The sequence below is a fragment of the Homo sapiens genome, chromosome 6 (genome assembly GCF_000001405.40).
Source record: "Homo sapiens chromosome 6, GRCh38.p14 Primary Assembly".
Lineage (NCBI taxonomy): Eukaryota > Metazoa > Chordata > Mammalia > Primates > Hominidae > Homo > Homo sapiens.
In genome coordinates, this window is record NC_000006.12 from 158,898,314 (window position 1) to 158,924,143 (window position 25,830).

At 45.5% G+C, this 25,830-nt stretch overlaps 1 long non-coding RNA gene and 1 pseudogene across 7 annotated transcripts in view, besides 3 other annotated features; one reads left to right on the forward strand and one right to left on the reverse strand.

The window, feature by feature from the left end:
* The window catches only part of LINC02901 (long intergenic non-protein coding RNA 2901), a 40,540-nt gene extending 28,500 nt beyond the window's left edge, over positions 1-12,040 (forward strand). For all 7 annotated transcript variants that reach the window (NR_160977.1, NR_160980.1, NR_160978.1 and 4 more), the window contains one exon: positions 11,654-12,040. This is a non-coding gene — a long non-coding RNA (long intergenic non-protein coding RNA 2901). The remainder of the gene's footprint in view (positions 1-11,653) is intronic.
* Positions 5,590-5,790: a silencer, noted in NCBI's record as "peak6276 fragment used in MPRA reporter construct". NCBI's record gives its function as "represses an SCP1 promoter by STARR-seq MPRAs in K562 erythroleukemia cells {active_cell/tissue: K562}" and the evidence as "EXISTENCE:reporter gene assay evidence [ECO:0000049][PMID:32103011]".
* Positions 11,696-12,489: an enhancer, noted in NCBI's record as "OCT4-NANOG-H3K27ac-H3K4me1 hESC enhancer chr6:159331041-159331834 (GRCh37/hg19 assembly coordinates)". NCBI's record gives its function as "activates a minimal SCP1, AML or CMV promoter by ChIP-STARR-seq in naive H9 embryonic stem cells {active_cell/tissue: H9 hESC(naive)}" and the evidence as "EXISTENCE:reporter gene assay evidence [ECO:0000049][PMID:30033119]".
* Positions 12,490-13,283: an enhancer, noted in NCBI's record as "OCT4-NANOG-H3K27ac hESC enhancer chr6:159331835-159332628 (GRCh37/hg19 assembly coordinates)". NCBI's record gives its function as "activates a minimal SCP1, AML or CMV promoter by ChIP-STARR-seq in naive H9 embryonic stem cells {active_cell/tissue: H9 hESC(naive)}" and the evidence as "EXISTENCE:reporter gene assay evidence [ECO:0000049][PMID:30033119]".
* YKT6P1 (YKT6 pseudogene 1) lies at positions 23,280-23,997 on the reverse strand (annotated as a pseudogene).

The window sequence follows — 25,830 nt, forward strand, 5'->3', positions numbered from 1 at the left end:
GGCTTGCAAATACTATCTTATAGCCCATTATTTTAAACTGATGACAACACTTACTGCATAAACAAACATGCAAATAAATACTAATATAAACTCTACAGTTTAGGCTGGGCACGGTGGCTCACGCCTGTAATCCCATCACTTTGGGAGGCTGAGGTGGGTGGATCACGAGGTCAGGAGTTCAAGACCATCCTGGCCAACATGGTGAAACTTCGTCTCTACTAAAAATACAAAAATTAGCCAGGTGTGGTGGCATGTGCCTGTAATCCCAGCTACTCAGGAGGCTGAGGCTGGAGAATCGCTTGAACCTGGGAGGTGGAGGTTGCAGTGAGCCGAGATCATGCCACTGCATTCCAGCCTGGGTGACAGAGCGAGACTCCATCTCAAAAAAAAAAAAAGAAAAACTCTACAGTTTAACTTCATCCCCCTGCTTTTTTTTTTTTTTTTTTTTTGAGACAGAGTCTTGCACGGTTGCCCAGGCTGGTGTGCGGTGCTGCGATCTTGGCTTGCTGCAACTTCTGCCTTCTGGGTTCAAATGATTCTCCTGCCTCAGCCTCCTGAGTAACTAGGATTACAGGTGCCCGCCACCATACCTGGCTACTTTTTGTATTTTTAGTAGAGATGGGGTTTCACTGTGTTGTCCAGGCTGGTCTCGACCTCCTGACATCGAGATCTGCCTGCCTCGGCCTCCCAAAGTGCTGGGATTACAGGTGTGAGCCCCCATGCCTGGCCATCCCCCTGCTTTTTAACTTTTTGTTATTTTCCTTTATGGCTTATTGTACTGTCTATGCCTTGAAAAGTTGTAGTTATTTTTGATTGGTTCATCATTTGGTCTTTCTACTTAAGATGAGTAGTTTATGCATCACAATTTCAGCGTTATATTATTCTGTTTTTCTATGTGCCTACTATTCCCAGTGAGTTTTGTACCTTCAGATGATTCCTTTTGCTCATTAATGTCTTTTTTGATTGAAGAAATCCCTTTAGCATTTGTTACAGGACAAGTATGGTGTTGATGTAATCCCTCAGCTTTTGTTTGTCTGTGAATGTCTTTACTTCTCCTTCATGCTCGAAGGATATTTTCACTGGATATACTATTATAAAAAATTTTTCCTGGCCAGGTGCAGTGGCTCATGCCTGTAATCCCAGCACTTTGGGAGGCCGAGGTGGGCAGATCACGAGGTCAGGAGATTGAGACCATCCTGGCTAACATGGCGAAACCCCGTCTCTACTAAAAAAAAATACAAAAAAAAAATTAGCCGGGCGTGGTGGCGGGTGTCTGTAGTCTCAGCTACTCGGGAGGCTGAGGCAGGAGAATGGCGTGAACCTGGGAGGTGGAGCTGGCAGTGAGCCGAGATCGCACCACTGCACTCCAGCCTGGGCAACACAGTGAGACTCCATCTCAAAAAAAAAAATTTTTTTTTCCTTTAGCACTTTAAATATGTCATGCCATTCTCCCCTGACCTGTAATGTTTCCACTGAAAAGTCTGCTGCCAGACTGGAGCTCCACTGTATGTTACTGTTTTTTTTTTTGTAGTTGTTGTTTGTTTGTTTTTCTTGCTTCTTTTAGGATCCTTTCTTTATCCTTGATCTTTGGGAGTTAGATTATTAAATACCTTGAAGTAGTCTTCTTTTGGTTAAATCTGCTTGGTGTTCTGTAACCTTCTTGTATTTGAATGTTCTTTCTGTAGGTTTGGGAAGTTCTCTGATACTATCCCTTTGAATAAACATTCTACCACTAGCTCTTCCTCTACCTCCTCTTCAAGGCCTATAACAGATTTGCCCTTTTGAGGCTATTTTCTAGATCTGGTAGGCATGCCTCATTGTTTTTATTCTTTTTTTTTTTTTTGAGACAGAGTCTCACTCTGTCACCCAGGCTGGAGTGCAGTGGCACGATCTCAGCTCACTGCAACCTCCGCCTCCCAGGTTCAAGCGATCCCCCTGCCTCAGCCTCCGGAGTAGCTGGAACTACAGGCATGTGCCACCATGCCCCCGGCTAATTTTTGTATTTTTAGTAGAGATGGAGTTTCACCATGTTGGCCAGGCTAGTCTCAAACTCTTGACCTCATGATCCGCCCACCTCGGCCTCCCAAAGTGCTGGGATTACAGGCAGGAGCCACTGCAACTGGCCTTTTATTCTGTTTTCTTTTGTCTCTGTGTTATCTGACTGTGTATTTTCAAATAGCCTGTCTTCAAGCTCACTAATTCTTCTGCTTGATCAATTCTGCTATTAAGAGACGGACGCATTCTTCAGCATGTCAATTGCATTTTTCAACTCTAGAATTTCTCGATTCTTTTAAATTATTTCATTCTCTTTGTTAAATTTATCTGATAGAATTCTGAATTCCTTCTCTGTGTTATTTTGAATTTCTTTGTTTCCTCAAAACAGCTATTTTGAATTCTGTCTTTAAGGTCATATTTCTCTGTTTATTCAGGATTGGTCCCTGCTGACTTACATAGTTCATGTGGGGAGGTTGTGTTTTCCTGGATGGTGCAGATGCTTGCAGATGTTCGTTGGTGTCTGCATTGGAGAATTAGGTATTTATTGTAGTCTTCACAATCTGGGCTTGTTTGTGCCCATCCTCCTTGGGAAGGCTTCCCAGTTATTTGAAGGGACTTAGGCCCCAAGCCCAATAATGTAGTTGTTTTTGCAGACTCAGAAAGATCCCACCTTGGTGGTCCTGGATAAAATCCAGAAAAATTCTCTGGATTACCAGGCAGAGACTCTTCTTCTTTTCCCTTATTTTTTGCCAAACACATGGGTTTCTCACTCTGTGATGAGCCACTTGGAATTGGGAGTGTGGTGATGCAAGCACCCCCGTGGCCATCACCACTGGGACTGCACTGGGTCAGACCTGAAGTCAGCACAGCACCGGGCCTTCCCAAGACCCTTCCCTTCAGGGCAGCGAGTTCCCCCAGGCCCTGGGCATGTCCAGAGATGCTGTCTGGGAGCCAGGGATAGCAATAAAAAACCTTAGCAATTTACTTGATGTTCTAGTCTACTGTGGCTAAGCTGGCACTCAAACCACAATACAAAGTCCTTCTCACGTTTCCCTGCCCTTTCCACAGGGAGAGGAGCCTCTCCATGTGGCCACCACCACCACTGGTCCACAGTGGGTTCTGCCAGGCAACCGCTGATGTTCACCTAAAGCCCAAGGACTCATCTGTCAGCTTGTGGTGAATGTTACCAGGCCTGGGACTCACCCTTCAGGGCAGTGGGTACCCCTCTGGCCCAGGGCAGGTCCAGAAATGTCCAAGCGCCTAGGCTTGGACTTGGAGACTCCAGGAGCCTGCTTGTTGCTCTACCTCACTGTGGCCTAGGTGGTACCTAGGAGCACAGAGCACTTCAGCCCACGGTGGTGGAGCCTGCCGAGAAACTCAGGTTCCAGCCGTTGGGATGGGCAGTTCCCCCCTGGCTAGGGCTGGTGCAAATGTTCCCTCCATGCACAGGCACTGGCTGAGTCCAGCGCAGCTTTATTCTCTTCTGTGACATGGCAGCACTGAGTTCAGTGTGAAGTCCCCTAGTTGCTGTGCTCTCCCTTTCCCAAAGTGCACAGATCATCTCTCTGTTCCATATGGCTGCTGCCGGGGGTGGGAGAGGGGTGGCGTCAGTGATTCAAGACTGTCTCTCTGAGCCTCTTCAATGGCCCTTTTAGCGATATGAGGTTAAAACCAGGTACTGTGATCGCTTACCTGACTTTTGGTTCTTGTGACGGTGCTTTTTTGCAAGCAGACAGTTGTTAAAATTTGATGTTCCAGCAAGGGCATGAATTGTGCTCTACCTTCTCTACTATAGATTTTTTAAAGTCTGCATAATTTTGCATTTTATGCATGTGCCATACTGTATTTGACCAGCCTTCAGCTGTTCAATGTGAGGGGCTATGGTTTGAATGTTTGTGTCCCTCCAAAGTTGATACACTAAAAGCTAATACCCAATGGGATAGGTTTAAGAGGTGGGGCTTTTGGGGAAGTGATTAAGTCATGAGTGCTCTGCTCTCATGAGTGGGATTAGTGCCCTTATCAAAGAAGCTCAAGGGCCCCTTTGCCCTTTTTCCCTTTACACCATATGAAGATACAGCCTTTGTCCCTTCAACCATGTGAGGACGCAGCAGCAAGGTGCCATCTTGGCATCTGCTGGTGCCTTGATCTTAGACTTCCCAGACACCAGAACTATGAGAAGTCAACTTATATTATTATTTTTTCTTTTTTCTTTTTTTGAGACAGAGTTTTGCTCTTTTTGCCCAGGCTGGAGTGCAATGGCGCAATCTTGGCTCACTGCAGTCTCTGCCTCATGGGTTCAAGTGATTCTCCTGCCTCAGCCTCCTGAGTAGCTGGGATTACAGGCACGTGCCACTACACCTGGCTAATTTTGTATTTTTAGTAGAGATGGAGTTTCATCATGTTGGTCAGGCTGGTCTCAAACTCCTGACCTCAAGTGATCCGCCTGCCTTGGCCTCTCAAAGTGCTGGGATTACAGGTGTGAGCCATCATGCCCTGCCAATTTATATTATTTATAATGTACCCTGCCTGTGATATTTTGTTATACCAGCAGGCACAAGTAAGACATGAGTTAACTTCATTAAAAAAATTATAGACAGTAATTCACTGAACATTCTTACCATTAAGTCTTACTACACACCCTTGATTATTCCTTTAGAATAAACTTTTGGGAATAGAATCACTAGGTCAAAGGTCGTATGCCTATTTAAAACTTTGTTATTGAGAAAGCTTGTGCTAATTTTATTGACAGCAGTGGATGAGAGTGTCTCTGCTTCCTCAAGTTTTTACCATCACTGGTTATTTTATGTGTGTGTGTGTGTGTGTGTGTGTGTGTGTGTATACATATATATATATATATTTTTTTGAGATGGATTTTCGCTCCTGTTGCCCAGGCTGGAGTGCGATGCCATGATCTTGGCTCACTGAAACCTCCGCCTCCGGGGTTCAAGCAATTCTCCTGCCTCAGCTTCCCAAGTAGCTAGGATTACAGGCACCCACCACCACCCCTGGCTAATTTTTGTATTTTTAGTAGCGATGAGGTTTCACCATGTTGGTCAGGCTGGTCTCGAACTCCTGACCTCAGGTGATCCGTCCACCTAGGCCTCCCAAAGTGCTGGGATTACAGGTGTGAACCAGTGCTCCCGGCCTGGTTATTATATTTTGAATTTTGCAAATGTTATAAGTGGAAATATCTCTTCTAAAAATAACAGATGGAAAAACTTTAAAAAAATCTTGTTGTAATTTGTATTTATTCCATGACAAATTTGGTTAAAACCTGTCATATTTATTAATCATTTCTTTTGTCTTTAGACTTTTGATGTCTGTGTAAGGCAGGGTTTAGTTGGAGGTAACAGAAACCACTCTTCTTATTTTAAGGAGAAGGAGCTTTGTCAAAGGAAATTAGCTTTTTACAAAATCACTGAAAGGGCCGGAGGAACAGGATCTATGCTGGGCTTCCAAGAATGACTCTGAGAACAACACCCTAGAACTAGTGGCTCAGGAAAGCTGCTACTTCTGCTCCAGGCAGCTTCATTCTAGATATTAGACTGTTCCTTGCTAGGTCTGCTAGAGCTTCACAGCAAAAACCAGTGCTCTGTGCCTGCTCCCAAGACACACTAAGCTACTAACTGTTATGGAATCTCTGCTACCATCACAACAGACAAACAACAACAAAAGTGAAAATAAACCAAATGTAAAATACCTCAAAATCCTAGCTTAAATGTAACAAATACGTTTTTACATACTTAAAGCAGATCAGAAGAATACCAAGGAAATTCCCAGTGGTCACAATGGAACGAAACTGGAGTTGTAAACTAATACTGAAGCCACTGCTGTGCCTAGGATATTTGTCAGTCTTGATGACCTGGATGCTTAACTGGCCATCTGTGCCTGGTAGATAATGCCTTGGCGGCAGTGAAGGGGTTGCAAATTAGGGATTTGAAACTGAGAACTCCACATAGTACCAAGACACTCAAAAAGCTACATCCTCAGGAAAAGAATGGATTGAATAAAAGAAACAAAATCTGACTTTTAGCAAAGAGAAATAACAAAAAAACTTATCTTTGCCTGTGCCCTGGGTGGAGAAAAAAAGCAGCTTCCATGGATGTGTAACTCCACATCTTTACTCTTAGGGGTTTTGGATCTGGGATTTGAGTCTACACCAAGTGGTTTTAGAAGTTAATTCTATGATCCCGAGTTGGTTGCAATTCTGGACGTCTGACAGAAGCAATGCAGATCCTTCCTGGAGGGACATAGTCTCAACCTAGGCCTTATAGAATTCCCACAGATAAGCCCTAGCTGAACATAAACTTTCACTCCAAATTAAAAAAGAATACATGAAGAAACAAGCTACCATAAGAGTCAGCAAGAACTCCTAAGAACTTAAGATAATGGATTTATCAAATGTGTTATATAAAACAAATATACCTAAAATGTTTGATTACATTTAAAAATACAAGAAAAGAGCAAGAGATATTATATAATGTAATCATATACATGCAAAAAATATACAAATTATAAGCATATAGCTTGATGGATTTTCACAATTGGAACACATCTAACTAGCACCCATAAAAAAACCCAAAACATTACTAGCATCCCCAAGTCCCCTGCCCCCATGTTTCCTTCCAGTCATGACCCATACCCTTCACAAGAGTAAGTACTATCCTAACCTCTAATAATAGCACAGACCAGTTTTAGGCAGATTTTAAAAAGCACTAAATAGAACTTCTACGAAAAAAAAAATTTTAAAACCCCAACAAACCAATGAATGAATAGTAGATTTGACATAGCTAAAGAAAGAATTGATATGGAATTAACTGGATTAAAGCTGAAAAAATTTTCTAGAACACAGCATGGAGAGACAAAATGATGGGAAAATAGCAGGAGTTAAGAGACATGGAAGATAGAATGAGGGAATCTAACCTGCTTCTAATAAAAATTTCATAAGGAGAGAACAGAAAGAACAGGTAAAAGGTGATTTTCAGCAAGATAATGTCAGAGAGTTTTTCAGAATTGCTGAAAGTTACATATCCTTAGATTCAGAAGTAATAGCGAATCCCAAGCTGAATAAGTAAAACAAATGAACACCTTAACACATTATAGGGATACCGAGGTCACTGAAGTAAAAGAGAACTATGGGCAATCACAAGGAAGAGACAAATGACTTATGAAGGCACAACAGTAAGATTAACAGCAGATTTCTCAACATTAACAATGGAAGCAAGAAGTCAGTGGAAGAGTAACATCTGCAAAATGCTGAGATGAAGAGATTTTCAGGTTGATTTTTGACAAGTCTACCTGTATGCTATTTATAAGAGATAACAAAATGATGAAAGAGGATGAAAAAATATATACCAGGCAAGTAGATAGGAAGACACAATTTCATAAAGATATCAGTTCTCTAAATCAATCTGAATTCAATTGCAATTGAATTGCAATTCTAATTAAAATTCAAACAGGATTTTTCTTGGACCTTGACAAGCTGGTTTTACATTTCAGTAGAAAAACATAGGCAAGAATACCTAGTTTCGAAGAAGCACAACGTTTGGGTTTACTCTACCAGGTGTAACTACTTATTATAAAGGTCTAATAATTCAGAGTGGTACTGATGAAGGCACAGAAAAATAGATAAAAGGTTTAGAGCAGAAAGCACAGAAAAGTGCCCATGCCTGTATAGAAATTGACAAACATCAGAGGGTCATGGAAGATCAGTGGGGAAAGAATGGTGTCCAGATTATTGGTTTTTCATCTGGGAAAAAAAATAAGGCTGAATGTTCACATTATAAACAAAAATCAATTCCAGGGTCGGCTGAAGATCTAAACAGGAAAGAGAAAAGTTTCCAACTTTTAGAAGAAAATGCTTATGACCTTAGGTTAGGGAAAGATTTCTTATAAGTCACAAAAAGTATAAATAACAATTAGATTGATAACCTCACTGATATTAAATTTTAAAACTGTGCTCAAAAGACACAAAGAGTAAAAAAATAAGCTATCGACTCCGAGAAGGTATCATATAGTTTGAATGTCTTTTTCCCACCAAATCTCAGGTTGAAATGCGATTCCTATGTTGGAGGTGGGGCCTGGTGGGAGGTGACTGGATCATGGGGGCGGTTCTCTCGTGAATGGTTTAGCATCATCCTCTTGGTGATAAGTGAGTTCTCACTCTGAGTTCATGTGAGATCTGGTTGTTTAAGAGTGTTGAACCCACCCCCACCATTTTTCTTGCTCCTGCTCTTGCCATGTGATATTGCCTGCTCCTCCTTCACCTTCCGCCATGACTGTAAGCTTCCTGAGGCCTCACCAGAAGCTGAGCAGATGTTGGTGCCATGCATGTATAGCCTGCAAAACCATTGGCCCAGACACACTTCTTTTCTTTATAAATCACCCAGTCTCAGGTGTTCTTAAAAGAACAAATGGACTAACACAAGATATATGCAACATATTTTGCCCATTAAATATTAGTAGTAGATTTTATAAAGTATCCAAAATATATGGAGACCTACTATTAAAAAGACAAACAACCCGATAGGAAAGACAGGCAATTCGCTAAAGGAAAAACCAAAATAGTAAATCAACATAGAAAAAGTTACTAGTAATCAGGAAAATGGACATTAAAACCATAGTGAAATACCGTTTCACACCCTTCAGCTTGGCTAAAATTTTAAATCTGATGATAATAAATATAATTTACAAGCTGTTGGAATCCCAGAACACTTTAAGCATTGAGAGAGATGTGACTGTGATCTGAGTCATATATGATTACAACGTCTGTTTCTCAGATTATAGATTAACTTACTTTCTTATTTTTCTTGTTCTGTACAATAACTAGAGAGAATTAAATAACACCAGGGACAACAACCTCCTGTCTTCCTAATTAATGGCCTTTGTTATTGATTAACATCCCCTTTGTTGTCCTGCCTTGCTGATCGCAGATGACAAAACCCATCGCTATTATACCCTTTATTTTAAAAAATGCTAAATGTAGCCTTCCCACAAACACTGCCTATCATCAGTCAAATTGCTATAACTATGTACCAACCTTGTATGAAAAATGTTCTAATCTTGCTAAAAGCTACCCTGTCTCTCCCTGTATAAATGAAACCTTAACTTCCCTACTTTGAACTGCCAACTCCATTCCTTGGAGTTGGTTTCCTGGTGGACTATTCTCAAACTTTGCATTTGAATACACTCCTTTAAAATTAGATTCTGACCCTTTTGATTATTTCAGGTTGACAGTACCAACAATTGATGTGGCTATGAAGCAATTTACAGTAATGATAATATAAATTGGTAATCACTTGGTAGAATAAGTTGAAAATATCTAATAAAGTTGACAATACACATACGATAAGATGCAGTAATTCCCTTTTAGGTACGCACTGCAGACAAGCCCTTGCACATGGCAGGAGATATGTCAAAGAATATTTAATGTATCATTCTGATACAGGAGCTAAAAAGAAATTATTTAGGCAGATAGTGAGGCTAAAGGAGTCCTTGGCAAGGCTGCCTTTTAAACAAAAAGCAGCCCCCAAATCATTTCTTTTCTAACAAAGAGCAGCCTATAAAATCAAGCTGCAAACATAGATAAGCAAGCTGGAAGCTTGCATGGGTGAATGCTGGCAGCTGTGCCAACAGGAAAAGGCTACCTGGGGACCAGGTATATTCAATATGGAGACTCCATCTTCCCTTTTCTTTGTCACCACGTGTGCAGTAAAGAAGCAGGCAACATGGCACCGGCCAGGTGGAGACCCCACCTGCATAGTAAAAGATTAGGGTGGGGCGGCCAGCTTCTTTGCACGCTATGCAAATGGCACACCCAGTCCTAACCAGTTCTTCGTGCTGTATGCAAATGGCACAACTGGTTTGACCAATCTTTCGTGCCCTAGCTAAATCAGACACTGCCTCCTCAAGCTTATCTATAAAACCTCCTGCGCTTCACTGTGGACCTGAAGACCCGCTCAGGACCCCCTCTATCTGCCCGAGAGAGCATTTCTCTTTCTTTCGCCTATTAAACCACCACTGTTAACTTCACTCCTTGTGTGTCTGCATCCTTGATTTCCTTGGCGTGGGACAACGAAGCCTCGGGTATTACCCCAGATGAATGACACCACGTGAATTCTTTTATAGTAGGAAATTGGAAACAAAATGTCCATTATCAGGAGAATGAATAAATAAATTGTTGTCTATATAATGGAATGCTAAATAGCAATGAAAGTGAATGAGCTAGAGCTGTGGTTGTCAACATGGATAATTCACACAATGTTGAATGGTAAATGTGAACTTCAGAAGTACACATGTGGTATACTTGTACTGGTCCTAGACTGGTGCAAATGGGGCCCCTGTCATGGGTCCCACATCTCAGGAGCTAGGGCAGAGCTTGGACAGAGACCCAGATGACTAGCTTTCCTCTCCACCCTTTGCACAGCTCCTGAGGTTGACCAGATGCCCCTAGCAGCTCTGGGCTGCACCTTTGTGTCCAAGTCTTGGTTCCAGGAAGAACTCTGAGCAGATTGCTCCTGTTGGCTGGTGCAGTTGGCTGGTGTTCCTGTTGGCAGGTGGCATAGCACAAGATTGGGCTGCCAGAATGGTACTAATATGCTGGTTTGGGCAACTCAAATTGTTTATATAGACAGACGCCCCCACAAAAAATACTTGCTTATGATTCCACACACCTTTGGGCATATAAAGCTTAAAAATGTGCAGTATAGGCCAGGCATGGTGGCTCACACCTGTACTCCCAGCACTTTGGGAGGCCGAGGTGGGCAGATTGTGAGGTCAAGAGATCGAGACCAGGCCAGGTGTGGTGGCTCACCCCTGTAATCCCAGCCCTTTGGGAGGCCAAAACGGGCGGATCACAAGGTCAGGAGATCGAGACCATCCTGGCTAACACAGTGAAACCTGTCTCCACTAAAAAAATACAAAAATTAGCCAGGTGTGGTGGTGGGTGCCTGTAGTCCCAGCTACTCAGGAGGCTGAGGCAGGAGAAGGGCATGAACCCAGGAGGCGGAGCTTGCAGTGAGCCGAGATGGAGCCACTGTACTCCAGCCTGGGCAACAAAGCGAGACTCCATCTCAAAAAAAAAAAAAAAAAAAAAAAAAGTCCAGGCGCGGTGGCTCATGCCTGTAATCCCAGCACTTTGGGAGGCCGAGACAGGTGGATCACAAGGTCAGGAGTTCAAGACCAGCCTGGCTAAGATGGTGAAACCCCATCTCTACTAAAAATACAAAAATTAGCCAGGCATGGCGGCAGGCGCCTATAATCCAGCTACTCAGGAGGCAGAGACAGGAGAATTGCTTGAACCCGGGCAGCAGAGGTTTCAGTGAGCCGAGATTGCGCCACTGCACTCCAGCCTGGGTGACAGAGTGAGCCTCCCGAGTAGCTGGGACTACAGGCACCCGCCACCACACCGGGCTAATGTGTTTTTGTATTTTTAGTAGAGACGGGGTTTCACCGTGTTAGCCAGGATGGTCTCGATCTCCTGACCTCCTGATCCGCCCGCCTTGGCATCCCAAAGTGCTGGGATTCCAGGCGTGAGCCACCGCGCCCGGCCTATCATGTTTTATTTCTTAAGCTGGGTAGTGGGGGAGTAAAAGGTGCTGATTGTGTTATTTTTTATGCCTTTGTGTATTATTTGATTTTTTTTTCTTTTTTTTTTAAGAGGAAGAAGTGAAGATAAGAAACCACTCGAAGCCGGTGTCTGGTGCTGGGACCGTGGTGGCTGGGACGGCAGCAGTCGTGCTGTCCATCTGCTCTTCCGAGGGGTGGCACATCCTAGCCTCTATCTTTTCCCCAGAGAAGATCCCCCTCGTCTGCTCTTCCCCCGTCTCAGCCTTTTAGTGTGTGAACAGTTCTGGTGTTACTCAGCAACGCTTTTGTTAGCGCCTTTACCAGCAAGTACTTGTTAAACACTTAAATCTTACAAGTGGAAAGAAAATTCCGTGGTAAATTTAAGTACAAAAGTCAACCAAAATTCTGAGTCTCGGACAAGACTGGTTAAAAATCGTTCTACAATGAAACTAATAAATTAAATCATATAAAACTTTTATTGCTTTGCAAGGAAGCTTTAGTATTAAATGTAAGCATTTTCATCTGGTGATTCTTCCCAGTCTCCTGTGGTAATAATACCTGGACAGGGAAGAAATCTTTTGAGATAACTAAACTATACTGGGAAATGGGCCCCTTGCTAAGTTTCCTGTGGCAGTGACACCCCCTCTGTTGCAAATATTTTCTCCGATGCGTGGTTTCAGTTCCAAGCCAAACCCGTTCTACAGCGTGCTTTGTACCTTTCCAGAGACTGATCGGTATCAGCTTGCCAGGGCTTTAAACCCCATTCATTCTTTCATTACTTAAAAGCCTCTTTCTTTGGAAAACCTTTGAGTGAAGCATAAAATTAGCATCTAAAAAGACATAGCAGCAACTGAACCCAGGAACGTCAGGGAATATGTGACCACCAGCACCATTATTGACCTTCCTAAGTGCAGTTTGATGGGGGAAGGGGCTATGCAGGTGGAAAAAGGTGGCCGAGAGGTGGAGGTCCCCCGGCAGGGGCAGTCGCCTCTCTGGCCTGAGCCAGAAACTCCCAATTCTCATGGGTGGCTGATGAGAGAACCCCTCCCCTCCTTTGTATTTAATCCTTTCTCTAACTCACTTCTAAGCTGACATCAGAAAATCTTTGAAGAAAAGCACAGGGGAGGCCTATTTCAGTGACTTTCACTTCTCTAAATGTTTGTTCTTTTCAGTTAGTTGTAAAATATGTTTGAATAATATTTTCAATTCTCTTTCACCACTGTTCTACAAAATGTGAGCCTGTAGGCATTGTTTTTTTTAAATGAAAAAGAAAAGATTGATTTTAGGAATCACATTCAAAGTGTTTGATGAATCAGGGCTCAGCTTAGCATTCAAGAACATGGCTGGGAAGTTTCCACTTTGTTTTCGCCCTAGATTCGTCTTTAAATCTTTTGTCTCCTATATTTTTCCAGCTCTGTGGACTTCTTTGAAGAGAAGAGGGCTATGAGGATTGAAGAAAGAAAGGCTTTTATCCAGTAATTTGTAATGATCCCATTGGATGATTATGGAATATTTTTTGTATACGTAACCCCTCAGGGAAAATCTGAGCCTATCTCTACCCTTAAAAACTCTGGTAGCCTGATGGCGGGTGGCGGGGAGAGAAGAAATCCTGTTTCTCCTTTCCCTGATTTTGTCCCCAAACTACATCTTGCTTTGAAAGTAGAGGAGTTGGAAGGAGAGGAGTTAGTCTCTCATGGGGCCCCTGGAAGGCAGATAGCTGCCAATCTTTGTGTGCATTTTGTCAAGAATGGCTGCCTTCTAAAAACAAACCAACTCTCCTCGATGCCTCAGGTCAGGGATCTGGGAGAGACTGGATTGTATAAAAGATGTTTCCAAGGCAAAAAAGCATTGCTCTCTTGGGGCATTTACAGAGGATGTCATCAGTGGGCACTTGGAAGTTCTAGAAGTCATGTGGGGTGCTGGTGTCTGCAGTTCCTGGTGTGCTCAGGACATTCTGTGTCTGCATAGAGGGTTGCTGCCCTATGGCTGGCCAGCTCATACCTGCACAATTACTTCCAGCACCTTGGCAGGCAGGAAAGGGACTACAAATATACCAACAGGGTAGGCGTTTGCTCTGGGGAAGAGGCTGATTTGGGGTGAATAGTTCATACCACAGGAAGCCCGCTGTGTGTGGTGGGCAGGTGACATTTGGACTGGGCTCCTGGTGGCTTTTGGCTCTCTTCCAGTTTGGCCTAACAATGAAATTACACGTTGAAGGGGTTTGTTACTGTTGATCTTTATTCCACAGCCTGGCTTCTTGGTAAAGGCATCCATGTTGTCCGTGTCTACATTTCCTCATCTCCCATTAATTCCCCACCAGCCCACAGTTTGCTTTCAGCCTTCACAGCTCCTGGGAAATGTCTCCCCATCTGTTGCCATCCTGGGGCCCCTCCCGAGGCTTAGTCTCCTTCCTCTTCTGCCCAGAGCTCAGCCCCTTGGCTGCTTTGCCACCTCCCTCCTCTAAAGTCACCCACTTTGGGAGCTTCTCATTTTTCTGTCTCCTTTGCCCTTTCCTTATGTTTAGTTGTTCCCAGACTCCTGGGACTTAAGTTCAAACCCCAACTCTACCATTTATTACCACTGAGGCCTGGGCAGGTCATATAACTTGCTTCAACCTTAGATTCCTTCCCTGTGAAATGGGGATAATATAGTACATACCTCATGTGGGGGAAGATGCAAAGAGACAATACTTATAAAGTGATTTACATGGAGCTTCTTATGGGGAAAGTACTTACTAGATGCTAGTTAACATCACTGTTACTCCTTTCTCACTCTGCCCACTGTCCACCCACTACAGCCAGAGGCCTTAACAGCTTCCATTCTTTGAAAGGTTGCCCTCTAGCCTAGCCCTTCCTCCTCAGTCTACACCCCAGGATGCTGGGTATCTCCAGCACCATAAATATTGCAGAGCAGTGAGTAATACCTGTTGGGTTCACTGAACCCACTTCATAGGCCCCACTCCCTGTGCTCAGTGAGCAATAAGTCCTCTCGTAGATTCCACACTGTTAAATAGAAGAAATAATGCTGATCATGGCTGTGCACTTTGTTCACTATGCAAAGGTACTTGGGAGAGCACCGCTGGCTGGAGAGTATATGGTAGCTGGGGGACCCAGGAAGAAGGTCTTTCTCTATCTCAAGCCTTCTTTGAAATTCAGATATGTTGGAAGACTTCCTAGTGTCTTTCAGGGCTGCGAAGTTACCCAACAACCTTTAATTGTGTGCATTGCTTTTTTTTTTTTTTTTTTTTTTTTTGAGATGGAGTCTTGCTCTGTCATCCAGGCTGGAGTGCAGTGGCATGATTTTGGCTCACTGCCTCCGTCTCCTGGCTGGTCTCAAAATCCTGACCTCAGGTGGTCCACCTGCCTTGACCTCCCAAAGTGCTGGGATTACAGGTGTGGGCCACCACCCCCAGCCTGTGCATTGCTTTCTTTCTTTTTTTTTTTTTTTTTTTAAGACAAGGTCTTGCTCTGTCACCCAGGCTGGAGTACAATGGTGCAATCTTGGCTCACTGCAACCTCTGCCTCCCAGGCTCAAGCGATCCTCCTACCTCAGTCTCCCAAGTAGCTGGGACTACAGGCACACACCACCACCCCCAGCTAATTTTTGTATTTTTGTAGAGACAGAACTTCACCATGTTGCCCAGGCTGGTCTTGAACTCCTGAGTTCAAGCAATCTGCCTGCGTTGGCCTCCCAAAGTGTTGGGATTCCAGGTGTGAGCCACCACACCCAGATTCTAATATTTTTCTATAATGCGAGATACAACCTCCCACCCGTGATTGTCGTGATATAAATATAAACATATTTGGTATGGAACCCAGGCCTGAAACCTAGGCTCACCATTATTGTGTCACCTTGTACTGTGACTGCCACCCCTCGAGCTGGCCCCTGCCGCACAAGTCACATGACCTCTGTGCAGAGGGCAGAATCTGCTGGTTCCTCCTGAGTGTCAAACTCCTAGTCCCCTGTCTCCTTGGGGCCAGCTCCCTTCTTTTTGCTGTTGGGACTGACCGACCGCCCATCACAGCTTCCAGCGCTGCTGCTCAGAGCCCCTCCCCGTGCTCTAAGGAGCTGCCCCTCTCCTGGCATTCTCCTCTCTTCCCTTCAGTCTCCTTGAAGTGTGGAGAAAGAGGCAGGCATTTTACAGCCATTTACAGCCAGGCACAGTCCTTCTAGCCCGTTGGAGAGAGGCCTGTCTGTGAGGAGGGGAGGTCTGTGACAAAGATTCTCTCCTTGACCAAACTCTAGCCCAGCCTCCTCTGAGCTGTTTTTCAATGAGGCTCTCTCCTTAGACACATCCTTAAAATCCCAGTTTTAGCAAGAATCCTGCTAAGTCAGTTTAGCCTCGATAGTGGGTCACCCTCCGTATCTGATCAAATCCTCGCCCCCACCATAGCCTTGGCCTGCCTTCAGCAAGAGCCCTCTTAGTTGAGTATAGCCAGAATCCCCATGGCCTGATGTTTCATCTGAATCATTTTCCATCTGCTGAGCCTCCTGCCCTGCTCCATGGCTAACAACTCCCACTTTCCCCTATCTCTCTGTCCTGCTGCAAAATCCCATTGCGGTGGTCCCTGTCACTATCATGATAGTCCTGAGTAAAGTCCGTCCTTTAACAAGGGTGAGGGCCAGTTGTGGTGGCTCACGCCTGTAATCCTAGCACTTTGGGAGGCTTAGGCGGGCGGATCACCTGATGTCAGGAGTTTGAAACCAGCCTGGCCAACATGGTGAAACCCTGTCTCTACTAAAAATACAAAAATTAGCTGAGTGTGGTGGTGCACGCCTGTAATCCCAGCTACTAAGGAGGTTGAGGCAGGAGAATTGCTTGAACCTGGGAGGTGGAGGTTGCAGTGAGCCGAGATTGCGCCACTGCACTCCAGCCTGGGCGACAGAGGGAGACTCTACATCAAAAAAACAAACAAACAAACAAAAAAACCCCAAAAAACCAAAAACAAAAACAACACAAAAACAAGGGTGAGAATAATCTTTTCCTTAACATGTGGGTGGACCACTGCTGCAGGCCATGTGAGATGGGAAAGCTGGGGGCCCATATCCAGCTTTCCCTGCTTTCCCATTGGGGGGCTCCATGTGGATGTAACAACAGGAGAAGCTACAGGCACGTCATGATTTCCCTTGTTCTTTGGGAAATCTGAAAGAATGAATCCTTTCCTAATCCCAGAAAGGCAGCCAACCTTTGAGACCTTGAGGGTAGACTGCAAAGTTCACATCTCACAGGGGTCAGGTAGGTTATGTAAATTTGTAAAGTGTTCCCGGTGCTACGAAAGGGAGGAGTGGAGACTGTGGCAAAGCAGAGAACACATGTCCCATGGAACGCTGTCGGTCGGCTCCAACCAGTTACGGCTTCTGGGACTGTGGGCCTGGTCTTGCCAGTGCACCTGAAGACAGGAAGCTGGGTTTTTACATGAAAATTCGATTTTGTAAAGTGTTGGCAAGTAGTAAAAATAGAGTATGGTCAAAACAACTCAGAATTTTGCCTTCAGGCATCTGGTTTGTAATATCTGGGCTAGAGTCTCATTATCCCTCTTGTTGAGGGAGGGAAGTTATTAGGACCGCCAGTGGGAAGGAAGGAGGCTGCTCACTGGCAGGAAGAGGGAAGTGGTGCAACCTGGAGTCAAGGTGGATGGCTTAGGTTTAGGCCTTTGGGGGATTTCCTTGGGGCGGGGGGTGGGACGGTGCACTGTGTGCCTGCAGTGTCTTCAGTGGGCACCTGAGTTGCCCCTGGAGAGCTGCCAGCCCCACCTGAAAGCCTGGACTTCTTGGCTCAGATCTTCATGTGAGGCTCAGCCAGGAAGAAGGGGTGCCACCCACCTTTGTGAGGCCACATGAGTTATGCCAGCAACCCCAGATCCATAGGACCTTCCTCCAGTTGGACTTCTGTGGACTGCACAGGCCCAGGAGTTCCTACATGAGCCCAAGGGGTGTGGAGAGTGCAATCCCCAAAACATGGCTCAGACTGGATTATCTGCCAGGTCGGGGACTGAGGGCCAAGCCATGTTTAATTGATTTAGAAAATGAAGAGATGGAGGCCGGGCATGGTGTCTCACACCTGTAGTCACAGCACTTTGGGAGGCTGAGGTGGGTGGATCACGAGTCAGGAGTTCAAGATCAGCCTGGCCAACATGGTGAAACCCCATCTCTACTAAAATACAAAAATTAGCCAGGTGTGGTGGTGTGCGCCTGTAGTCCCAGCTACTCGAGTGGCTGAGGCGGGAGAATTGCTTGAACCCACGAGCCAGAGGTTGCAGTGAGCTGAGATTGAGCCACTGCACTCCAGCCTGGGTGACAGTCGCAAGACTCCATCTCCAAAAAAAAAAAAAAAAAAAAGAGATGCAAAAATATCCCAGGTATCTTCGTATGTCAGTATATGTGTGTGTGTTTAGTATCTCCTGATTGGGACCCAGTTTGAAAGCCTGAGAGTTCTGGAGATGTGGATGCCTGAGAATCATGGTTTTACTAGGCAAAGATTTTCTCCTCTTCTCAAAATAGCTGTAGCTATTAGACATCCTAAGTATTTAGGTTCCATATCACTTTCTCCAGTTGGGGCCGGTTTTAGGAAATTGTCCAGGTGCCTGGTTTCCTTGTACAAACACCTTGCTGACTTACCCACTAGTATCGAAGCCGCTGAGTTTTCATGACTCTGTCACTGACTTTAATACTTGCTTTTCCCTTGACTGAACTTCGGATGTTTAAATGGAATTTAGTGACGTTTTCACACCACATTTTTCATTATTTAGCACTTTGGAAACAGAGGTTGTTTTGTTATAAGCTTTTTATTCTTCTTAACCTCCTCTGAATACTTGAAACCTTTCACGACGGAAATGAGTTTACTGTGACCTGACTCGGTATTATACAATAAACGCATGATTCTCAAAACACGCTGTTTATATGGAGAATAAACGCGGTCCGGAACACAGTGTTCAGTGTCTGAAATGAAATGCAAGTCTCCTGTTTCCAAAGGCTGACAGGATGGTTGCTGAATGATATTCCAGCTGCTCAAATGAAGGGCCCTGGAAAGGTCTGTTGGAAGTGAATTCGAGGGCGTTGCCTCTTCGTGGTTGGGTTTGCTCTCTGCAGACCCAGGAAGGCCCTACTTTCCCTGAATTCTGAGCTTCAAAGCTTACATCTGTGTCCTTCTGCTTAACAACCTGTTTTAGCAACCAAGTATGCCAAGATGTTACTGTCACATTAAACTGTGTACCCCTGCACTCTCCTTTCCTTTCCTTTCCTTTCTCCCCTCCCTCCCTCCCTCCTTCCTTCCTTTTTTTTTTTTTTTCCAGTATCTCACTCTGTTGCCCAGGTTGGAGTGTAGTGGCATGATCTCAGCTCACTGCAACCTCCACTTCCCGGGTACAAATAATTCTCATGTCTCAGCCTCCTGAGTAACTGGGATAACAGGCATGTGCTACTATAGCCTGGCTAATTTTGGTGTTTTAGTAGAGATGGGGTTTCACCATGTTGGCCAGGCTGGTCTCGAACTCCTGGCCTCAAGTGATCTGCCTGCCTCGGCCTCCCAAAGTGCTGGGATTACAGGCATGAGCGACCGCACCCGGCCTGCGCTTCCTTTCTTGATCACACCACCACAGTCTTGACCTGCAGGTCAATCTATACCTTATTTGACATGAAATATTGTCAGCAAGTCTAATGGAATATTCCACCAGAGTGGGAAACCCATCTCCAAGATGCAGTGGTGAGCTATTAATTAAAGCTGGCTCGTGCCCTCAGAGCAACTTTCTTTGATGCTGCTTGTGACAGGTCAACCTTTGCATCCTATGCCCAGTGGAGCCTGCTCTGCCTGGTGTTATCATTTGTCCTTTAGGGACGGCGTGGCCTTTTTCTTCATGTCTGTGTTAGATGTCATCCAAGTGAATTGCTTCTTTCTCTTTCCTGTTTATTTGTTATAGGGTGTCACCTCTTAGCCATCTGAGCACTGGGCTGGCTGCCAAAAACAGAGGTGATGATGTAACGTGCCAACTCTCACATGGCTCAGAGGAGGAGGACCCCAGGACTCCAGGATGGGACAGGGCAGCCACTTCTCACCAAGGTGACACTGGGGCTTCTGAGCCAGCCTCTGAGTGGGGAATGGGGGGAAGGGCAACATGATGGAGGGGTCAGTGACACACCCCCGTCCCCATGAAGAAAGGATTTCTACTTTGAAATTCGTCTACTAGAAACTAATTCCTTCTGCTCAGTTTTCTTCCTCAGGAAGGGGTGTGTGTGTGTGTGTGTGTGTGTGTGTGTGTGTGTGTGTGTATTTTGACAGTTCTTTCTTTTTCTTTCTTTCTTTGAGACGGAGTTTCGCTCTTGTTGCCTAGGCTGGAGTGCAATGGCACGATCTTGGCTCACTGCAACCTCCGCCTCCCAGGTTCAAGCGATTCTCCTGCCTCGGCCTCCCGAGTAGCTGGGATTACAGGCATGCGGCTACCACACCCAACTAATTTTGTATTTTTAGTACAGACAGGGTTTCTCCATGTTGGTCAGGCTGGTCTTGAACTCCTGAGCTCAGGTGATCCACCCGCCTTGGCCTCGAAAGTGTTGGGATTACAGGCGTGAGCCACCGCACCCGGCCAACAGTTCTTTCTTCAAAAGTGTTACATATTCATTGTAGAAAAATTTAAAAACTCACAGAGGCAATAAGTCATTAAGATCAATCAAGAACTATATACATATAATCACTATTCAAACCTGAGGGGTGTGTGTATCTGTGTGCGTATGTTTGTGCATTTGCACACGTATGTGTAGAGACAGAATTTCATTTCTTTTTCTTTCTTTTTTTTTTTTTGAGATGAAGTCTTGCTGTCGCCCAGGTTGGAGTGCAGTGGCACGATCTCGGTTCACTGCAACCTCCCTCTGCCTTCTGGGTTCAACCAATTCTGCTGCCTCAGCCTCCGGAGTAGCTGGGACGACAGGCGCCCACCACCACGCCCTGCTGATTTTCATATTTTTTGTAGAGATGCGGTTTCACCATATTGGCCAGGCTGGTCTCGAACTCCTGACCTCAGGTGATCTACCCATTTTGGCCTCCCAAAGTGCTGGGATTACAGGCATGAGCCACCGCACCAGTATAAAAACTGGTATCATGTAATACACACATTTTCACTACTTTAAAAAAATTTGTCATGTGGTGAAGACTTTTTCTTTCCAATAAATATCAATCTATATCATTATTACATGGGTCTGTCAAAATTGGTTTAAATAAAGAAATAATTTAGTTTCCAGATTTATGCTTGGGTGAAGGTGTTTGAAGTTAATTTGTTTTTTCCTCTTTTTGAGACAGTCTCGCTCTGTCATCCAGGCTGGAGTGCACTGGTGCTATCGTGGCTCACTGCAGCCATGACCTCCTTGGTTCAAGTGATCCTCCCATCTCAGCCTCCTGAGTAGCTGGAATTGCGGGCATGTGCCACCACTCCTGGTTAATTTTTTTTTTTTTTTTTTTTTGATATTTTTTATAGAGACAGGGTTTCACCATGTTGCCAGGCTGGTCTTGAATTCTTGGGCTCAAGTGATCCTCCTGCCTCAGCCTCCCAAAGTGCTGGGATTACAGGCGTGAGACAACACTCCCGGCCCCGGGAAAAACTTTTTACTTCATGAAGATGAAATATTGGACCCAAATTTCTGTCTTCAGTGAGGATTTCTTTGGAGAATCCTTGGCCATATTTAGCTTTAATTCAGGCGGTGCTGGACTCACGACTCAGTGTGTGCATTGGAGTTCTCTCTGCAGTGCTGGCTTTCTGAGGAAAGGGTATGACCGCAAACATTTTTTCAGGATATCAGAACTGCCTTCCTACCGACCCTTTGGGGCTAGCAAGAAGTGAAGCCATTTGGATGACTATTCAGGGCGCTAAACAGCCTGTCTGCTTCATATTGCTAAAAGAATCCAACACTCATCTTTTCTCACCTAGGAGCTGCATACAATTTCAGCAACTGCAAGGGATCCAGACCAGCTCTAATAATCACCACTTCTATATACCTAGTGGTTAGAATAGGCTCTTTTCCAAGTGCTTTATGCCTATTAATTTATTTACTCCTCATGAAAGCCCTGAGAGGAAGGTGCTGTCACTAAAGCCCACACCACTGCGGGAACACAGGCATCCAGAGGCCAGGCAACTGTGAAACTGCCTTTGCAAAATTAAGACTAAGACAGTGAGAGAGATCTAACTTAACCGACTCCATCTTGCTTCTCACCTCCAAGCTGTCCTTGTTCATTCCTGGGCATAGACTGAACTAACTTTGGGAAATACTTAGTTTATAGTTTATAGTTTAAAACAAAGACGATAACAGCCCTTTCCCAAAGCTGACCTCCTTCTTGCCTGGGGACTAGATTGCCTTTGTAGGACTAACATCAGCCACAAGGTTAGAAATTATAGTTTAGGAGTCGTGCAGCTGGAGGCTACAAGATTCTGACCCTCCCTAAACTGCTCCTAAGATCAGTGCTTGAGATATTTGCAGACCCTGCACTTGATGGATCAGCTGGCACCACCCCATCAATAAACTGGCTCACCTGATCCTGTGGCCCCCACCCAGGAACTGACTCAGCACGAGACAGCTTTGACTCCCTGTGATTTCACCCCTGACCAATCAGCACCCCGGCTCACTGGCTTTCTCCTGCCCATCGAATTGTCCTTAGAAACTCTGCTCCCAGCATGCTCGGGGAGACTGATTTGAGTAATAATAAAACTCCAGTCTCCTACACAGTCGGATTTGCATGAATTACTCTTTGTCTATTGCAGTTCCCCTGTCTTGGTGAATTGGCTCAATCTAGGCAGCAGGCAAGGTGAACCCCTTGGGTGGTCACAACTGGCCCATAAGTGCGAGGCTCATGAGCAGCGAAGCAGGCCAGCCCCCCAGGCAGCTGGCTCTGACCACTAACGCTTTCCCATTTCCCGTAGAACTGGTGTGCAGCCATTAGTTCACACAAGTCACATGAAAGCCCTGTGTTTCCAAACGTGCAGCCGCTCCGCACCACAACAAATATCGTGTTGGTCGGAAAACAATAGCTCTCCCCTCAGACACACAGTGAACCTTCTCATTCTGAATATGTCCATTTCTTCAATAACTACAAGAGGTATCTGCTATGTGCCAGGTGCTGTTCTAGAAACACATTGATATTCTTTTTTTTTTTTTTTTTCTTCAGAAGCCAGTTGGAGTTTATGGTTTCATTTGCCCAAAAATACGCCTTTGGGGACCTCAAATTCTTTCCAAGAATCACTACCACACATATTAATTTGAACATTTCCCACCCTTCCACCATCCCTGTTTCTCCTGAGAGCTTCAAAATAAAAATGGCCTGTGTGCCCCCACTCCAGGTCCTCGTGCAGGGCTCTCTCTTCTTCTCTGGGGACTGCAGTTCTGACGCAGATGATGGTGCTGTTCCAGTGCTGGGCCATTGCACAACACGAGTTTTGTTTCCGGGAATTTTTTTTTTTTTTTGAGAGGGAGTCTTGCTCTGTCGCCCAGGCTGGAGTGCAGTGATGCAATCTCGGCTTACTGCAACCTCCGCCTCCCAGGTTCAAGCAATTCTCCTGCCTCAGCCTCCCGCGTAGCTGGGACTACAGGTGCAGGCTGCCATGCCTGGCTAACTTTTTGTATTTTAGTAGAGACAGGGTTTCACCATGTTGCCCAGGCTGGGCGCGAACTCCTGACCTCAGGTGATCCGCCCGCCTTGGCCTCCAAAGTGCTACAGGCATGAGCCACCGTGCCCAGCCTCCGGGCGGTTTTATAGAAGGCTTTAGACTGTGTTCCCAGCCCTCGGATTTGGACACCAAGCCACCTCGCTTCTCACCTCGCTCTAACAAACACTCCATGGTGTTGTGCACAACGATTTGGGTTTCATCTGGTTCGGCCTGCACGTTAGTCACAGGGTCAGCGTCTCGTGGGTTCTGGTGTCTACTGAGGTGACCATCCAGGGCTGCAGAATGGATTGTAGCAGGGGATCCTTCTGGCCAGTCTATCCTGTTGACTTGCTTGGAGAATTCATCTAGTACTTTCTCCAGCAAGGTAAAGGCCATCCGGGATGGGCATTCATTGTCACCTGCAAGACTGTCATTCCGGACATAGACGTGCCACATATAGTCTTGTTCTTCGACAGAAGCTCTAGTGCCTTTGGATGAGTGCTCCACGATCAGTTGATTCGTGAAGGTCATGAATTCCTGAACGCTGGATCTCTGGAAAAAGCTGAAGGAAGCGACATCGTCGTACCTGGCTTTGAGCAGCACTGCCTTGGCCTCGCCTTTGTAGAGGACACTGAGGCTGTACAGCTTCATGGCTCTGCGCCCTCAGGCCACCTGCCTGCCCAGCTGTGGGACCCACTCTCAGGGATCAGCGCTGCCCCTCGGGACCACAGCTGCCTACCGGCCTCTCAGCCCCGGGCAGCTGAGCAGCCAACAGGGCCAGTGCCGGCTTCCTCCTCCTGGCTCGGGATCCACCCACACTGGTATTCATAACAGATGTATGCACAAGGCATGGAAGCTACTCAAAACACACAAAGATACCTGCCTCCTGGAGGGGATGTTGCTCAGACCAGCAAGTAACAGGCCCTTGCATAAGAAACTAAGAGCTTTAGAGGGGCACCCCCTGCCTGCGCAGGCCCAGGTATAATTGTAATGGAGAAGCTGCACTTCAGTCCCTCAGCCAAAACCTCTCTTGGGGGCCTTTCACTTGATTCCAGCTGTCCTGTCTTCCTGGCTCCCAGTGGGCTATGCTGTCTTCCCAAGTTACTCCATTTCCTGATCCCAGGACCAGACACTGTGCATCCACCCATCCAGTGAATTGTTTCAATCACTCGTTCAATCACCTCTTATTGAGTTCCTCCTTGGTGACAGGCACTGTGCTGGCTGGTAGAAACATACAGATAAACAAGGCAGCCTGTTGCCCGTGAGCCAGCTCCGGGACATTCGGGTGGAAAGCACCATGTGTTCCTGAAGCAGTCAGTTAAGTTTGATGACATATTCTGTATTTGGAATGAAAGATAGAAATTGGGCCGGGTTTGGTGGCTTACGCCTGTAATCCCAGCACTTTGGGAGGCCGAGGCAGGAGGATTGCTTGCTTGGGCCCATGAATTTGAGACTAGTTTTGGCAATAGAGTGAGACCTGGTCTCTACAAAAAACAAAACAAAACGAAACAAAAACAAAAACAAAAAACTAGCTGGGCATGGTGGCATGCACCTGAAGTGGGAGGATTGCTTGAGCCCATGAGGTTGAGGCTGCAGTGAGCTGTGATCATGCCACTGCACCCCAGCCTGGGTGACAGAGCAAGACTCTGTTTTAAAAAAATAATTGAACAAATATTTAAAAAGAATGTCTGCAAAATTGTTTCTGGTTTCTCTGGGTTTCTTCCCATCAGGTAGCAGAATGTTAGAGTAGGAAGAGGATTTGCGAGATCATCCAGCCAACCTCCTGGCTGCCTTACAGAAACTTGAAAATGGTCTAGGATTGAGAACTCGCTCCTTAGATGTTTCAGAGGCATAACCTACTGTGCACAAGCAGACTTGTTCAAATTGATGTTTAACATTGATAGGCTATACTATTATCTCTAACCAGTTGTTCTACACCCTGCCCCAATCACTTTTTTTTTTTTTTTTTTTGAGACAGAGTCTCGCTCTGTCACCAAGGCTGGAGTGCAATGGTGCGATCTCAGCTCACTGCAACCTCTGCCTCCTGGGTTCAAGCGTCTCCTGCCTCAGCTTCCTGAGTAGCTGGGATTACAGGCACCCGCCAACACGCCCACCTAATTTTTGTATTTTTAGTAGAGATGGAGTTTCACCATGCTGGCCAGGCTGGTCTCGAACTCCTGACCTCAGGTGATGCACCTGCCTCGGCCTTCCAAAGTGCTGGGATTACAGACGTGAGCCACCGCGCCAGGCCCCCAATCACTTTTAATGTAGGCAAATTCGTAGGAGCTCTGAAATATACAGTCAGGTGTTGCTTCACCATGGGGTTATGTTGTGAGAAGTGCATTGTTAGGTAATTGTGTTGTTTTGGAAACATCATAGAGCGCATTTACGCAAACCTAGATGGTGCTTCACCGTGGGGTTATGTTGTGAGAAGTGCATTGTTAGGTAATTGTGTTGTTTTGGAAACATATAGAGTGCATTTACGCAAACCTAGATGGTATCGGCCTACCACATACCTAGGCTAAGTGGTAGAGCCCATTGCTCCCAGGCTACGGACCTGTACAGCAAGTACTGAGTACTGCAGGCAATTGCAGCACAATAGGAAGTATTTATGTCTCCAAACGTATCTAAACAGAAAAGGTAA